Raw genomic sequence first — 16409 nt, forward strand, 5'->3', positions numbered from 1 at the left:
GTTTCAGATCTGTGACCGTATGGTTGGAATGATCCACCCTAACAAATCTTTCTTTGCAGCTGAGATGTTGGAGGACTTTGGTCTAATTTTGACTAATAGAAGCCACCTTTTTATTTCTGACATAGCTGTGAAAGAGGCCAGAGGGAAGCAGATACGAGAGTTGAATGCCAGGTGGTGACTCTGGAAACGCATCGCTGCTAGTTATTATCGCCGTGTAGATTTCTCCTCGCGCTTGGTAGCCGCCTCTTACCTATCCCAAGTCCTTGATGTGATTTGCTGACAGTGAGTTAAGGGATGGACATCCATGACTTAGGAGAGATGATAGGCTTCATGGCTATTCTAGGAAAGAGTAGCCATGCAAAAAGGGTCATTAGAGATGATGAGACTTAGCGCATTTGATAGAGCTGGGGCAGAGTTTTATTTAATCTTGTGAGAGTCACTGGGAGCAGAAGAAAGCAGTTTTTGCGGGAACCAGCATGTGTTGGGTTTCATTTATTGGTTAGGCCAGCAGAAGACGGTAAACGTTGGTTTGGTGGTGTTGACAGATGGTGTGAAACTGGGAGGGGGTGCGCTCGACAACAAAGATGGAGAGGTGCATCCTGGGAAGTTGGCAGTGATAGGATGGGCATCTGATGCCTGGAAACATGCAGGTTTGGAGCTGGATCTTCTCGATGCAGACACTTCTGCTCTCGGGTAGTTATTTAAGAGGTTGTGTCAACCCTGTTATACCTGCAGGGTACCACTTAGTCAATGAGCACTGCAGTCCAGTGTGCCAGAAGGGCCTTCTGGTCCTTCTGATTGGAGAGATCATTTAGTGAAGCTTCCACACATTTGTTGATGTTCAGCTTGGGGATCCCTTACGCAGATAGCTGCCCCACATGGCTCCCTGGACCAAAGAAAGATCATTAGTATCTCAGAGATTGGCAGCAACTCCAATGCGAGAGAGTAAAACTCTGAAGACCCTGCGTCGTCAGTAGGCAGGGGAAAATGCGTCAGATTAAACAAGAATCTGTACTGCTGTTTAGTAGCCAGTGGCATAGAAGCCGGGGACTTCTAGTGTATTTCAGGCTCTGTAGAGGCAGGTGATGTAGCCCAGTCAAGTGGGTTTTCATGCCAGTTCTGCTGAGTGATGGTCACCAGGTAAGCACAGCTGATGGAGACTTGAAAACAGCTCTCGAATGCTAAGTGTGGAAATATTTGAGATAGAAATGGAGGAGCCGTGGTCAGAGTCGATACTGTTAATGAACGATCAGAAAAAAACCCACAAAACTGTCATAGTCTAGAATTAAGAGGAAGAACATTCTGGCTAAAGGCCAGGGCTCCTTCTGAATCTCAGATCCTTGGGGATCTGTGTTGGCTGCCCCAGGGCTGTGGCTGGGGCCGGCTCCCCAGGGCTCACCGAGAATGAACAGGAAGAACAGCCAGACCAAGTGAGAGTGATCGGCAGCTTGCTAACCCAGCCTGCTGGTGTCCCTCTCTGCTGCCCCAGGAGAGACCCCGCATCTTCCCCACACACTGCTGTGGGACTCAGGACACCTCGGGTTCAGATCCACATCTGCCCTCGGCAGCCCTGACCCTGGGCCTGTGGCTGAATATGTCTGAGTCCCTTTGTCCTAAAATGAGGTCGAGCCAGGTGTTCCTGGGGTCTTTCCCAGCCCCCAACTGAAACTGAATGCCGCGAGGCAGCCAGCCGGCCTTGGGAGGCCTCCACACAGCAGCAGTGCCAGAAATGACGACACAGGCCTCAAGCCCGCTGGACAGATCCCCCTGGCCCTGTGGTTAGCCTTGGCTTTGGCCCTTAACAGGGCAGACGTGGAGGATCTAGTTCAAAGCAGTAGCTTCGGGGCTGGGAGCAGCCCCTCCCCTGGAAACCTCTTGGGAAGCCTTCCTTCTGTGTGTTCTGAGGTGGTGGTAGCTCTGTAACAGCTCTGGGCACCTCCTGTTCTTTCTTTCCTTTGGCTTTCTTTTATTTATTTTTTATTTACAAAATAGAGATGAAGTCTCGCTGTGTTGCCCAGGCTGGTCTCGAACTCCTGGGCTCGAGCGATCCTCCTGCCTCAGCCTCCCAAAGTGCTGGGATTACAGGCGTGATCCACCGTGCCCAGCCTGTCTTTATTTTTATTTTATTTATTTGTTTTTCCAGCTTTACTGAGGTATGATTGACAAATAATGTCTGTTTGTAAAATTTCAGTCGAGTCATAGATACCAGGTAAGGCAGAGAGTGGGAGGGAGACTGAGGCCTTGGTCTGGTGTTGGGAGCACTGCAGCTCGAGTCTTGGAGTCAGGAGGGGGTTGTTGCACTTCCCTGTTCTGCTCCTTTTTCAGCTTTCTGGTTCCCTGTAGCTTCTGGAACTGATTATTTTTGTTTCTTTAATGCTGCCCTGTCTTGTAAAAGGAGAGCCATTAGCATCATTTGTTTTCAGGAGAGAAGCAGATTTGAAGGCTCAGGAACTTCCTGGGAAAGGTGACCTCTTTTGAGCCAAGAGCTTTACCCCCTAGTTTTTTGTTTTTTTTTTCTCCTGTCTACCTGGAGCTGAGAGGTTATCCCTTTCAATCCCTCTCAAGGTCCAGAATCACCAGCTAGGGTTGGGTCTGCCCCTGGAGCACAGACTCCTCCCTTGGGGACCCCAGAGCCCTTATCAGTATATCAGTAAAGGGCAAGAGAACAGAGATTGTTCAGAGCAGAGGAAAAGTGTATTTGTTCCCCAGCCCCACTCCATGAACATTCCCCTGTCTCAAAGCACATACTTAGGCCTAAGAACAGGATAGGCAGGCCAGGCACGGTGGCTTATTGCCTGTAATCCCAGTACTTTGGGAGGCTGAGGCGGGAGGATCACTTGAGGCCAGGAGTTCGAGACCAGCCAGGACAACATAGCGAGACCCTGTCTTTATATAAAAAAGAAAAAAAAGATACAAGTCTAAGAAGAGGCTGGGCAGTGTAAGTGTCCTCAGCCCCAGATATCATTTATTTGCTTATAAGCAAGAAAGAGGCGTGCCAGGGTATGAGAGTTTTAGAACAAGACTTAGCCTGTAAGTGGGAGAAGAGGGAGAACTTGGAGGGTACAGGGGCGCAGGGTGCAGAGCACTGATCAGAGAGGTGCGAGGGAAATGCAGCCACTCCATAAGGACCACGCCCTGTAGGACAGAGGCGCCCAGGTTAGCTGCATGCAGTGCAGAGGGTCCCAGGACCAGGGATCAGCTGTGAGGGACTTGGGTGGGGGGCCTGGCGGGTTAGGGACTGCCCGGCTTCCATGCTGCACACAGCTGGGAGCAATTATGCCTCTGGTTTGAGCTGTGCTGCTCCCTCTGGGTGGCCACACCACCCCCTCCCTCCGACCAATCAACCAAAGAAGTGCTTCATCTCGAGTTGGAAGTATGTCACCCCCGCCCCCCACCACCAACAAGGAAGGACCCTCTTTGTCCCTTTCCCAGTGACAAGTGTGAGTGAGCTTGGCTTTGGCTGGTTCTTCTCTAACAGGCTGACAACAGGGAGATAAACTCAGACCCAGCACCCAGGAGGTGGGAACCTCAGGGAAAGGACACCGGCTCTCCGTGTTTGAATCTGATGTTCTTTCTTTCTTCTCATGTGGCAGAGAAGAGACAGGACAATGGACGGGTGTATTACGTGAACCATAACACTCGCACGACCCAGTGGGAGGATCCCCGGACCCAGGGGTAAGGACTTGGGCTGAGAGGGGGGCCGGGCTGGGCTGGGTCTCTGTGCAGCTCCAGCACTGGGCAGGTGGCTTTGGACTGCATCGTCCCAGAGGGCTGATGTCAGGGACCTTTAGCCACACACAAGTGTCTTGAGACTCTCACCGTACAGATACACTGTTGGCCTGATGAGAGCTTAAAAGGGGTTTCTTAAATAGACCTTCCTGGTGGATGGAGGGCGGCCCGGCTGGCGGGTGTTGCTGGTCTCCATACTGATTGTGCTGGCTGCTGATAATTGGATTGCAAAAAGGTTGAGGGCATCCTGGTCTCCCAACACCCCCAAGTGAAGCTGTGCTGGGGCACAGGGTGCCTCAGGATTGCTGGTGGCTGCTCAGTCCAATGCCATCCATGCAGGGCTGGGTTTTTGGCCATGAGATAATAAGTGACCTCTCCGTGCTGCAGAACTGTTCTCACGACTTGGGTCATGCTTCTTGGGTGCATGTCCTCAAAGTCCCTCATGGGCTCTGCAGAGACAAAGCCACACTTTGAGGACCCAGCCTCCAACCACCAAGGTCCAGAAGGTGGGGCCAGCCCTTCACCCTTTTCTTCCCGTGTTTCCAGGATGATCCAGGAACCAGCTCTGCCCCCAGGATGGGAGATGAAATACACCAGCGAGGGGGTGCGATACTTTGTGGACCACAATACCCGCACCACCACCTTTAAGGATCCTCGCCCGGGGTTTGAGTCGGGGTAAGGACTTTGTGCAGGTAGCAGCAGTGTCAGGAGCCGAGGCCCAGGCTGTCCTTGTTCTGGCTCTGGGAGGCCCACTTTGGGTGGCCCCTGTGGTGCGTTCTACTGCCCTTACTGCCCTCTAGTGGCCAATGTTGATGTCATATTAAAGGGGATGGGAGGATAGCTTGAGCCCAGGAGTTTGAGACCAGCCTGGACAACATAGCGAGACCGTGTCTCCACAACAATAAAAAAGATTAACCAGGCTGAGAAAAATGGCAAGACCCCATCTCTACAAAAAAAAATTAAAAATTAGCTGGATGTGGTGGTGCATGCCTGTAGTCCCAGCTACATAGGAGGCTGAGGTGGGAGGATCCCTTGAGCTCAGGAGTTTGAGGCTGCAGTGAGCTATGATGGCACCACTGCACTCCAGCTCAGGTGACAGAGTGAGTCCCTGTTTCTAAAAAATAATAATACATTTAAAATTAGCTCGGTGTGGTAGCACACTCCTGTAGTCCTAGCTACTTGGAAAGCTAAAGCGGGAGGATCGCTTAAGACCAGGAATTCGAGGCCGCAGTGAGCCATGATCACACCACTGCACTGCAGCCTGGGTGACAGAGCAAGACCCCGTCTCTAGAAAACGAACAAACAAATAAATAAGATGGGATGGGGAGGAAGGGACTATCCTGTTTATTCCGAATGACACTAGAGTTATTTCTCTAAAAGCAAGAAGTCTGGCTTTATTTCTAGATTTTCTTTTTTATTCTTCAAGGATCTTAATGACAGTCACTTCCTCACCTTACATTACTAATCTTTAAATTAACATAGCACCAGCTTTCCTTAGGGCTGACAAAGACAAATTGTTCATTTTCTGAGAAATCGCATGAACCCCTGAACATCTTTGCTCTTCCTAGGACGAAGCAAGGTTCCCCTGGTGCTTATGACCGCAGTTTTCGGTGGAAGTATCACCAGTTCCGTTTCCTCTGCCATGTGAGTTCTGGTACTGGGGCTCCCGTGGCAGTTGGGGTTATTGAGTTATTTCAGTGTGAGTTCCCGGCACAGCAGCAGGTATCGGAATGTTTGTGTCTTAGGCGGGCGCAAGACACTTGTCTAACCCGGAGCTGGCTGTCTCTAGGAAGCTAGTTTTCATTCCTAGGGCACATGCTATTGCCTCCTGGCCCAGCAGGCTGGGGAATGCCTGTTCATACAGACAGGAGAACAGATGACCACTTGAGGCTCGATTTAAAGTTCTTTTCTTTTTTTTTTTTCAGTCAAATGCCCTACCTAGCCACGTGAAGATCAGCGTTTCCAGGCAGACGCTTTTCGAAGATTCCTTCCAACAGGTTAGATCATGGTGCCCGAAACCAGTGGCAGGCCGACGCCCTCCTCCCAGCACCCCATCTCCTATCGCGTGGCCTGTTAAACCCACACTGCAGACTTTCCAGGGCGTGAGTCTTGGTGACTGTGTCTGCTGGATATTGGGCCTTAGAGTCCCCTGTCCCTCCCGCCCCTGCCTGCTGTGGAAGGGAGAGTGGCAGGCTGGCCCGATGCTCTGTCTTCCCAGATCATGAACATGAAACCCTATGACCTGCGCCGCCGGCTCTACATCATCATGCGTGGCGAGGAGGGCCTGGACTATGGGGGCATCGCCAGGTGAGCTTGAGTGCCCCGGAAGGCTGCCCTGTACCCCGCTTCCCCAGGCTACAGCATCAATGGCCAGAAAGCTGCCTGCCCCCTGCTCACATTCCCTCCCAAAGCTCTCATGCATCTTCAGGAATGGGCACAGTGTGGCATTCAAAATACGTGAACCCGCCAGGCGCGGTGGCTCACGCCTATAATCCCAGCACTTTGGGAGGCTGAGGCAGGTGGATCACCTGAGGTCGGGGGTTCGAGACCAGCCTGACCAACATGGAGAAACCCCGTCTCTATTAAAAATACACAATTAGCTGGGCGTGGTGGTGCATGCCTGTAATCCCAGCTCCTGGGGAGGCTGAGGCGGGAGAATCGCTTGAACCTGGGAGGCAGGAGGTTGCAGTGAGCCGAGATCGTGCCATTGCACTCCATCCTGGGCAACAAGAGCGAAACTCCATCTCAAAAACAAAACAAACAAAAAAACAAAATACGTGAATCCATGTGGCCAGTCCATTGGGCCTGGAACAGGGGCCTGGGGTGCCCCACTGGGCTGGACATTAAGCCTTTAGTTACTGGGTCATGAGGCGACGGAGGACTCCTGGGAGGGGCGAGAGCTCAGTACAATGGCTCTGTTATCTACCAATGTGTCATGTTTCTGTACTTTAACAACCAGGCCAGCAGCATCTGGGCAGTTGAATATAGGGGCCATGTGGTCATCCATTAGAGTTGACCCTGGGATCCCCTCCTCTTAAGGCAGCCAGGGCAGGTGAAGTCAGGTGTCCCCGTGTGGATAAGCTGTGTCACGATCCACAGGGCCTTGAGCAGGGCTCAACTGCATGTCACATGCCTGGGGTCAGTAAAACTGTAACGGCTTATGTCACCCTAAAAAGAGTCCAAAGCATTGTCTTGCCTTCACCCTGGTCCACCCATAAAAGTTAACAGGCCCTCTGGGAAATGCTGCCTTGGACAGCAGGGCAGAAGGGCCCCGGCAGAGAGAGAGAGCGCTGTGGCCCGCAGCGACCTCTCCGCTCGAGACCTCTCCCGGTGTGGGCATGTCTTCCCGCTTGGTGTTGGGTTAACTTGCTTCTGGTCCTCTGTTCGGTGGTGGCGTTGCCTTCTGCGCTGGCCCCGTGGATGGATGTTCCTTTTTTCCGTGGTGACCTCCTCTCCAGGCTCTGCTTGGTGGGCTTCTGGTGTGGCCGCGCCCTGTGTGTGTCTCTCTCTGTGTCCTGCCAGTGGTTTTACCCTATGGTAGGTTACGTCATGCTGTTCTACCACAGGGTAGAACCACGGACAGGATACCGGGGCACCCTCTGCGTCGACGGACTCCTCGTCTGCCCAGCCACAAACAGCCCAGCAGCTGGGGACTGGCCCCCTTGGGACATCCCCTTGCTGGTTTAGCTCAAGCCCAAAAGGACTCTGAATTCATGCCTGAGGCTCGCACCCAGGGCACGGGTGTTGGTTCAGATGAATGCGTGGAAGTGTGGGAACGGGGATGGTGTTGGGGTCTGGGGGTGAAGGGAGGGCAAAGTGCAAGAGTGTTGCATAGCTGGTGGGCATGAGGTTTCTCATCTGAAGGCAGCATGGATTACATTGTCATGGATCGGGGTTGGAAATGTGTTGCTGTGTATTTACGTTATGTTGCCCGCCCAGGTAGAGTGGAAACAGGGTAGTTACTATTCAAACAGAACCTTTGCAGAAAAATTATTGTAATAAACATGCATCGTGCCCTTGTGCAGTGCACAGCCTAGGCAACTGAGCATGGTGACCCAGGGTACAAGGACCCCCTTTACCATTAGAAGCTCTGGATATTGTGATGTAAAGTCTTGGAACACATCACCTGGGAGCCGACAATCACACGTTTTCCCAAATATCATCCTCAAATGCAGTTGCCGCCCTGGTTCACTGTAGGTCTGAGCCTGCCCTGTTCACTGACCAGCTGTTCATATAGGTTAGCCCGGGTGCTTGTCACAGGGCTCGACTCCCTGGGACACGTGTCCCCATACTAACCTGAGACACGATGGTGAAGAGACACAGCTCCTGTGCAGATGTGCACGAAGGGACCCATTATTCTTGTCTTTTCTGTCTCTTCCCTCACAGAGAGTGGTTTTTCCTCCTGTCTCATGAGGTGCTCAACCCTATGTATTGTTTATTTGAATATGCCGGAAAGAACAATTACTGCCTGCAGATCAACCCCGCCTCCTCCATCAACCCGGACCACCTCACCTACTTTCGCTTTATAGGCAGATTCATCGCCATGGTAAGGGGGCCCCAGGGGTCTGCCTAGTTCCCTCCTCCTCTCCCTCCTCTTCCCTCTCCTGGTGAAGTGTGCCAGGGGCACCAGGGGAATCTGCTCTTTCTCTGAGACCTCCAGGAAGGGGCAGCATTGGAGGAGGCCCTGGGCCTGTTCACCAGGAGGCAGCGTGGCGTGAACGGCAGCCCCCGTGGACTGGCTCACCCTCTCGGGGCTCCACCCTTTGCCCCCATAGAGCTCGTAACCTAAAAATGCAAGAAGCTAGAGAGAGTTCTGGAGAAACCAGAGCTTTCTCAGTGGCTGCCCTGTAGGTAGTGAAGAGTTTCCATGTTGCTTTGTACAGGACTTGTCAAGAGGGAGCCCAGGGTCGCTGGGCCACAGACTTTACTGAACATTAAATATGTGCTCTGTTGAGGGCCTTGGGATGACAGGGCCAGGTGAAACCATAGCTGCCCACCTGCTGCCTGTCTCTGGGAGGTGACACTGTCACGGCATTTGGGAATGTCCCACTGAGACACTAAGCCTTCTGGAAGGGCATTTGGAATCAACACTAGTGTAGAACAAAACGTAAAGTCTGTGGCCCAGAGACCCTGGGCCCCCTCTTGACAAGTCCTATGCAAAGCAACATGGAAACTCTTCAGTACCTACAGGGCAGCCACTGAGAAAGCTCTGGTTTCTCCAGAACTATCTCCAGCTTTTTACATTTTTAGGTTACCAGCTCTATGGGGGCGAAGGGTAGAGCCCAGAGAGGGCGCGCCAGTCCATGGGCGCTGCCGTTCACGCCACGCTGCCTCCTGGTGAACAGTAGACTGGCTGGTGCAGGGTGTAGGGACATCTGTCAGAAAGTGAGCCAGTTCTGGGGAGGGGCGTCCCAGCGTCTGTATTTAACTGGAAAGAGGGACACAATGTGAATATGGAAAGGGAGGTCCTGCCACGTGCCCCGTTGAGGGTCCTGGGAGCGTGGAGAACCCGGATTGAGAAGCGGAGCCCGTGGGAGGCACAGCGCGGGAGCCACATGCATAGCTGGAGATGTTTCAATTCTCCTTTCCTTCGCTTCTTCCCCTGCCTTCCTGAGTGTCCCACCCGGCTCCCCTCTTAGGAGGACCCAAGCGCCCCATGAGCCTGTGACTAAATATGGCCGGCCCTTCCCATCGTCGAGGAGTTCTTGGCCAAGGTGCTGGGCTCTGGAAATGGGCACATTCTTCCCAGGTCTAGAGACCCGCCTGGCCCAGCAGCCAGCAGGACAGACCGGTAAAACCCTAGACTATTACTCACCATTGGCCGCCAGCTCTCGCTGTCGGCGGTGTCTGCATTATTTTTGGCTGCCTTTGCCACCCACCCTGAGCGCCAGTGAATCAGGGCTGCCACCTGCAGCTGTTCAGAGCAAGCCTTTTCTGTGAGCGTGGGGCAGACCTTTGCTAGGCCAGGAGCCAGCCGGCCAGCGTGCGGGGCAGATGCGGGCCCGGACGTGGGTTCCCGCACCAGCTGGCTCTGCCCAGTCCTTGCGGTCTGCAGGGCAGGGTGGGAGTCCCTCTGTAGGTACAAGTCAGGATAAAGGCGTTGTTTACTCCTGAGGCCCTCCCGCTGCGTCCGAGGCAGCTGCTGCTGTAGTTCTGTCAGGGAAGGAAGGCGGGTAGCGGTAGCAGAGTTTGATACCGAGCATCTGAGAGCTGGTCTTGGCAGTGCCCAGGGAAGGCCAAACCTCTGTGCTGTGCCTCTTCCTTCCCAGGCGCTGTACCATGGAAAGTTCATCGACACGGGCTTCACCCTCCCTTTCTACAAGCGGATGCTCAATAAGAGACCAACCCTGAAAGACCTGGAGTCCATTGACCCTGAGTTCTACAACTCCATTGTCTGGATCAAGTGAGTTCCCTGCCCCCTTGCCCCACCGCGCTGATAGGAGGGACGTCTCTGGGTGGGAAGCAGGTACTGATGGCCTTTATTTTGTCTGCCAGTGTGGCCCCTGAGCTCTTTTCCAGCCTCTATAAGAGCTTGTGGAGAGGAATGTCCTCTGGGTTCCCTGGGGACAGTTCTAGAACCTTCTCCTTGAGTCAAGGAGCTGTCCCCTGTCACTGTTCAGGATTCTAGGCCACCTGTGGGCCCTTGGTGTCCCACGGGCAACAGAGCAGGATCCAGGAAAGACCCTGACACGGTAGACATCTCCCCACTTGGTCTCCTGTGCCCCCAGAGAGAACAACCTGGAAGAATGTGGCCTGGAGCTGTACTTCATCCAGGACATGGAGATACTGGGCAAGGTGACGACCCACGAGCTGAAGGAGGGCGGCGAGAGCATCCGGGTCACAGAGGAGAACAAGGAAGAGTACATCATGTGAGTCTCAGGCGCCGGGGGCTCCGCTCCAGGGGTGGCGTGGAGATCTAGTGGGTTGCAGAGAAAGATGGGCCCCCACCTGTGGCCCATCGGTCACTGTGGATGCCATTTGCATTTGCCTTGATGGTGGCTGCTGGTGGGCGGTCATGTGATGGCGCGAGCTGGGGGAACCAAAGCCGAGGTCCTTAGTTACCGACTCCCAGCTGTGCTTTTTCGCCATGTGGGAGACTTCAAGCCTGCAGCGTGGAATTTCTTTGAAGTGGCATCAAGCTGAGACATCTGCATCTTTCTCCGGGCCGAAAGGATCTCTGTGGCCTGTGTGCCTAGACCCACCGTCTCACGTGTGCCCGTTCTCCGTGCCTGTTCCTCAGGCCTCTTGCTTTAGTCTTTATCTCCACGCTTCCATACGTCTGAGGTTCAGTCGGCGCTGGGGGCAGGAGCAGGAGGAGGTGGTGGTGAGGATGATTTCAAAGACTCCGGTGTCTGCAGGTCACTGTGAGGTTTTCAGGGCCTCACTCTAGGTCCTCCAGCAGGCTGGGTCTGGGTGTGCGAAGTGGGCTCTGCTGATCTGGTGGTCCTGCGCGGTAACGGCCACGCGGCCTGGCCGGGAGCCACCCCTGAGCAGTGGGTCTCAGACTCCACCCATGGCTGCTCTTTGGTCTCAGGCTGCTGACTGACTGGCGTTTCACCCGAGGCGTGGAAGAGCAGACCAAAGCCTTCCTGGATGGCTTCAACGAGGTGGCCCCGCTGGAGTGGCTGCGCTACTTTGACGAGAAAGAGCTGGAGGTGAGTGTCTGAGGTTGCTGGGACCCTGAGCCCCTGCCTCTGGGGCGATCCTGCTCTGTGATACGCTCACTGTGTACCCACAGACACTCAGCGTAAAACTCCCACTTCGGCAGGGCAGATGGGTTTGATTTGGGACCCACCCTTCCCCAGACACTTGTTTCAAGAAAGCAGGGACTTACATTACCCATATTATTAACGCTGACACCAAAAATAGCTAGTTGAATATGTTTGGGGTAATGTCAAGTGCTAGCGAGTGGACGATGCGCGGGGAGGGACCTGCCGGGGATGCTGACTGCCGCCTCTCCCCAGCTGATGCTGTGCGGCATGCAGGAGATAGACATGAGCGACTGGCAGAAGAGCACCATCTACCGGCACTACACCAAGAACAGCAAGCAGATCCAGTGGTTCTGGCAGGTGGGTCCCGGGCCCAGGCCTTGGCAGGGACATTTGGGCCATCAACCAAAGGAAACGGGTCCTGAGGAGGCCTCACGCGCAAGGACCTTCAGCTTTGGCCCTGTCCTTGCCTCCCACACCTTGCAAAAGGAGACGATAGACCAGCCTTGGGATGAACGGGGACAGTTCCAGCTGAGTGGTGGCCAGTGGATGTGACAGGAGGTCGTCAGTGGTCAGCCTTGGGCCAGCTGGTGTGCAGGGACAGACCTGCAGGCAGACAGCAGCTGCCACTGGTTGAGAGGTCCCCTGCCAGCCAGATGGGACAGGAAGGCAGGGGCTTGGCTCCAGAAACCAGAAAGAGCTGTCATCCTATGTATAATTAATGTGTTGATTCTTTTATACGTATGGGTTTTGTTGTTGTCGTTATGAAATACAGCATACAAAAAAAAATAGCGATTACAGGTATTCTTAGTACATGTCTGTGTGCATATGTACGTATACAAATTTTTTGTGGAGGTGAAATTTGTATAACATACAATTAACTATTAATTTTTTTTTTTTCAATAGAGACAGGGTCTTGCTATGGTGCCCAGCCTGGTCCTGAACTCCTGGGCTCAAGCAGTCCTTCCATCTCACCCTCCCAAAGTGCTGGGATTACAGGCGTGAGCCACTGTGCCCAACCCATTTAAGTTTTTTAAGATACACAATTCAGTGGCTTTCCACTTTGGGTTCCTTGGCTTCCCACCCAGGCCGAGGTGGGCAGATCACTTGAGGTCAGGAGTTCAAGACCAGCCTGGCCAAAATAGTGAAACCCTCTTTCTACTAACAATATAAAAAATTAGCCAGGCATGGTGGTGGACACCTGTAATCCCAGCTACTCGGGAAGCTGATGCATGAGAATCACTTGAACCTGGGAGGTGGAGACTGCAGTGAGCTGGACCGTGCCACTGCTCTGCAGTGAGCTGGACCGTGCCACTGCACTCCAGCCTGGGCGACAGAGCAGTGGCTTCCAGTACATTCACAGTGTTGTGCACCTGGCACCACTATCTAATTCTGGAACATTTCATCTCCCCAAAAACCTTATACCCATTAAGCAGTCACTCCCATATTTAGTCATCTCTAAAAGCAGAACGTGGATGGGAAGAGAATACCCAGCCTGAGGTGTCCCTGAGACCCAGAGATGTCCCATGGACTGGTGGGAATCTCATGCACACACAGCCTCTTAGCAAAAGCACTTCTGGGGTTTCTCAGGTTGGAGGCTGTCATCCCCTGGCCAACCTGGCTTTGTGTTCTCAGCCCCAAAGAGGGGCCCCGCTGAGCTAGAGAGCTCCACGTTCGGGCAAAGTACTGGGCCCCGTGGGTTGCCTGACTGTGCCTTGACTTGCGGACTTCCAGGTGGTGAAGGAGATGGACAACGAGAAGAGGATCCGGCTGCTGCAGTTTGTCACCGGTACCTGCCGCCTGCCCGTCGGGGGATTTGCCGAACTCATCGGTATGTTTTCTCTCGCCCTCTGGCGTCCTGGCTGGCAGTGCGGACAGCTCAGAGGGAGGGGGAAACCTAGTCTCTTCCTGGAAGCACGTCAGTGGGATGGAGAAGAGCTGTGGCCTCTGCATCCTGGGGCCGAGCCCATCTGTGGGTGGAGCCGGAGGATCCTGCTTTGGGAAGGGACGTCTCTGCTGACGTCGGCGTGTTTTACCTTGGATCACAGGTAGCAACGGACCACAGAAGTTTTGCATTGACAAAGTTGGCAAGGAAACCTGGCTGCCCAGAAGCCACACCTGGTGAGCCTGCTGGTTTTAGTGGGAGGTCGGGGGGCCTCAGACCCGATGAGCTCCTGGGACAGCCCAGTGGGTGTAGCAGCTTCATAGCCTCGAGTCTGGCAGCTTTTGCGTGGCCCTGGGGTGTTGGGTTGGAGAGATGGGGCTGTGATGGGCATCTGATCTACCGGGTTTTACATATGAAGCACTTCTGTTCCAGTAGTCCAAGAGCTACTGCCCCAAGTGTCCCCCGCAACCAATTTCCAGCTGTCCTGGCCCCTCCCTTAACACCCCATGGTCCAGGCACCTGCAATGTGAAGGCCTGACTGGCAGCCCCTGAGCCCTAGCCAGTGTGGTGCAAGCCCTGTGGCCCTGCTGCAGGCAGGCATGGTGGGGCTATCAGAGCCCTGGCCTCCTAGGGCTGACTGTCGTGCTTCCCCACTCTCAATAGCTTCAACCGTCTGGATCTTCCACCCTACAAGAGCTACGAACAGCTGAGAGAGAAGCTGCTGTATGCCATTGAGGAGACCGAGGGCTTTGGACAGGAGTAACCGAGGCCGCCCCTCCCACGCCCCCCAGCGCACATGTAGTCCTGAGTCCTCCCTGCCTGAGAGGCCACTGGCCCCGCAGCCCTTGGGAGGCCCCCGTGGATGTGGCCCTGTGTGGGACCACACTGTCATCTCGCTGCTGGCAGAAAAGCCTGATCCCAGGAGGCCCTGCAGTTCCCCCGACCCGCGGATGGCAGTCTGGAATAAAGCCCCCTAGTTGCCTTTGGCCCCACCTTTGCAAAGTTCCAGAGGGCTGACCCTCTCTGCAAAACTCTCCCCTGTCCTCTAGACCCCACCCTGGGTGTATGTGAGTGTGCAAGGGAAGGTGTTGCATCCCCAGGGGCTGCCGCAGAGGCCGGAGACCTCCTGGACTAGTTCGGCGAGGAGACTGGCCACTGGGGGTGGCTGTTCGGGACTGAGAGCGCCAAGGGTCTTTGCCAGCAAAGGAGGTTCTGCCTGTAATTGAGCCTCTCTGATGATGGAGATGAAGTGAAGGTCTGAGGGAGCGGGCCCTGGGGCGAGGCCATCTCTGCCTGCCTCCCTAGCAGGCGCCAGCGGTGGAGGCTGAGTCGCAGGACACATGCCGGCCAGTTAATTCATTCTCAGCCAATGAAGGTTTGTCTAAGCTGCCTGGGTATCCACGGGACAAAAACAGCAAACTCCCTCAGACTTTGTCCATGTATAAACTTGAAGTGGTTGTGTTGTAGGGTTGCAGGTTTTTTGTTACGCTGCTGTCACTTTCTGTCCAGGAGCTGGCACCCCAGGTGTTCTGAGACCTTGAGGGACCCAGACCTTTGGGTCCAAGAGTTTCCCAAACAGCCACGCCTCTCAGGAACCCACCTGGCGGTTCCGTGAGCTCAGGCAGGCCTGACCCGGCGGCACAGCCTGGCAGGGACCTCGTCCCCAAGCCTGGCAGAATGAGAGGGGTTGAGGTCCCGAGCGCCACTCCTAGCCTTGCCGCCTTCAATAGAGAAGAAATCCCTTTGCTAGATAGGGTCCCCCAGGCAGTCCCCAGTGGCGGGACACAGGGGTCCGGCTGTGGAGCTCCCCTGCCAGCCCCTGGAGCTCCAGGAGGGCCTGTTGGTCCCCTGTTCAGAATGGAGTGCAGCCCGCCAGCGGAAAGTGTTCATTCTGCATAGGTGTGAGGCTTTATCTGCACACAGGACATGAAAACCAGCAGAAAGGCCCTGAGCTGCTGCATAGCCCCATCTGATTTCTGCAGTTCCCGCCAGCCTCCAACACGGGGACTCTGCCGTAACTGGAATCTTCATAGGTCATATTGAAATCTTCAAGGTGACCATGCCCCACCGGGGTGCTGGGGCAGTAGTCATGGCAGACTCCCGGCCTGGGCCCCCAGGATTCTAGGACCCCCAGGCAGCCCCTTGGACTGGTCCCGGGTGCCTTCCAAGCACAGTCTCCATGCTCCCAGATTCTCGACCTTCCCCCGGCCCGGGAGGTGCAGCCTGCGTCTGCCTCTGTCGTGTGTGCTGATTTGAGTGGCTTAGCTTGCCACAGCGCAGCCTCTTCTGTCCCTTTCAGTCATTTGCTGTACTTCCCTGTGGCACGTTACCATGGAAGCCGCTCCAGGGTGGGTCAGGGTGCAAGCTGCTGGTGAGGTTTGGAAGCATCAGGCTCACGGGTGTTCATGTGTGTTCGTGCGTGTGTGTGCGTACGTGTATATAACTGAAGTGTCTGTACGGAATGCCCTTTGCTAGCCATGGGCTGGTCACCAGATTGTTTTGTAATGCCCGCCCCTTGCCTCGATATTGCCAGTTTCTTGTGCAATAAACAATCAGCAGCTGTGGGTGGTGTTGTTGTGGATGTTTACAAAGCCACAGTCCTCCAGTCAAGAGGACTCCGGGCCTCACAGACCCTCCAGGCCTGGATAGGGGTGGAAATTCCCTGACCTCGCTGGTTTTGAGAAGCATGTGTGTCATGGACCGAGGCAGCCCCCGACTTCTGGGCTGGGCAGCTGAGTCCTGGCCCAGGGGTCACCGGCTTCAGCCCTTGGTCAGCTGCCTCACCGTACCCTTTCGGCACCCTCTGCCTCCGCCTGCTGGACCCGGGGGTCTCCAAGCAGTTGCTGTGGGGTGCAGAACAATAACAGCTACAGACTGGGTGGGCTTCCGAAACTGGCTTGCAGGGAGAGTGTTCCAGGCAGTCATTCATTTGGGAAATACTCAGGTTTCACAAGTTCCACGACGGTCGAGGGACTCTGTGATCTTGACCTCAGGGTCACGTAAGGGCTTGCCACCCACTTTTTTTTGTTTTTGACAGATCACCATGCTGGCGGGTCTTGATGCATTTGACAAGGAAGTGACTTTGT

General features: G+C 54.6%; 1 protein-coding gene and 1 non-coding gene across 16 annotated transcripts in view, besides 2 other annotated features; both read left to right on the forward strand.

Annotated features, from left to right (window-relative positions):
* The window catches only part of WWP2 (WW domain containing E3 ubiquitin protein ligase 2), a 179408-nt gene extending 163523 nt beyond the window's left edge, over positions 1-15885 (forward strand). For all 15 annotated transcript variants that reach the window (XM_017022879.2, XM_017022881.2, XM_011522823.3 and 12 more), the window contains 13 exons: positions 3594-3675; positions 4276-4404; positions 5298-5373; positions 5655-5726; positions 5948-6036; positions 8116-8275; positions 9999-10132; positions 10458-10598; positions 11264-11384; positions 11694-11798; positions 13173-13269; positions 13487-13559; positions 13987-15885. In XM_017022879.2, coding sequence (XP_016878368.1) covers positions 3594-3675; positions 4276-4404; positions 5298-5373; positions 5655-5726; positions 5948-6036; positions 8116-8275; positions 9999-10132; positions 10458-10598; positions 11264-11384; positions 11694-11798; positions 13173-13269; positions 13487-13559; positions 13987-14086 — 1379 coding nt within the window. In that variant the 3' untranslated portion in view covers positions 14087-15885. The remainder of the gene's footprint in view (positions 1-3593; positions 3676-4275; positions 4405-5297; positions 5374-5654; positions 5727-5947; positions 6037-8115; positions 8276-9998; positions 10133-10457; positions 10599-11263; positions 11385-11693; positions 11799-13172; positions 13270-13486; positions 13560-13986) is intronic.
* Positions 4449-4606: a silencer, noted in NCBI's record as "fragment chr16:69964206-69964363 (GRCh37/hg19 assembly coordinates)". NCBI's record gives its function as "represses an EF-1alpha promoter that drives an FKBP-Casp9 reporter gene in an ReSE screen in phorbol 12-myristate 13-acetate-treated (for megakaryocytic differentiation) K562 erythroleukemia cells {active_cell/tissue: K562(+PMA)}" and the evidence as "EXISTENCE:reporter gene assay evidence [ECO:0000049][PMID:32094911]".
* MIR140 (microRNA 140) lies at positions 7227-7326 on the forward strand. The gene has a single exon (NR_029681.1). It is a non-coding gene; the product is annotated as a microRNA 140 (primary transcript).
* Positions 7808-7998: a silencer, noted in NCBI's record as "fragment chr16:69967565-69967755 (GRCh37/hg19 assembly coordinates)". NCBI's record gives its function as "represses an EF-1alpha promoter that drives an FKBP-Casp9 reporter gene in an ReSE screen in HepG2 liver carcinoma cells {active_cell/tissue: HepG2}" and the evidence as "EXISTENCE:reporter gene assay evidence [ECO:0000049][PMID:32094911]".
* Positions 15886-16409: the final 524 nt, after the last annotated feature.

The sequence above is a fragment of the Homo sapiens genome, chromosome 16, assembly GCF_000001405.40.
Source record: "Homo sapiens chromosome 16, GRCh38.p14 Primary Assembly".
Classification (NCBI taxonomy): Eukaryota; Metazoa; Chordata; class Mammalia; order Primates; family Hominidae; genus Homo; species Homo sapiens.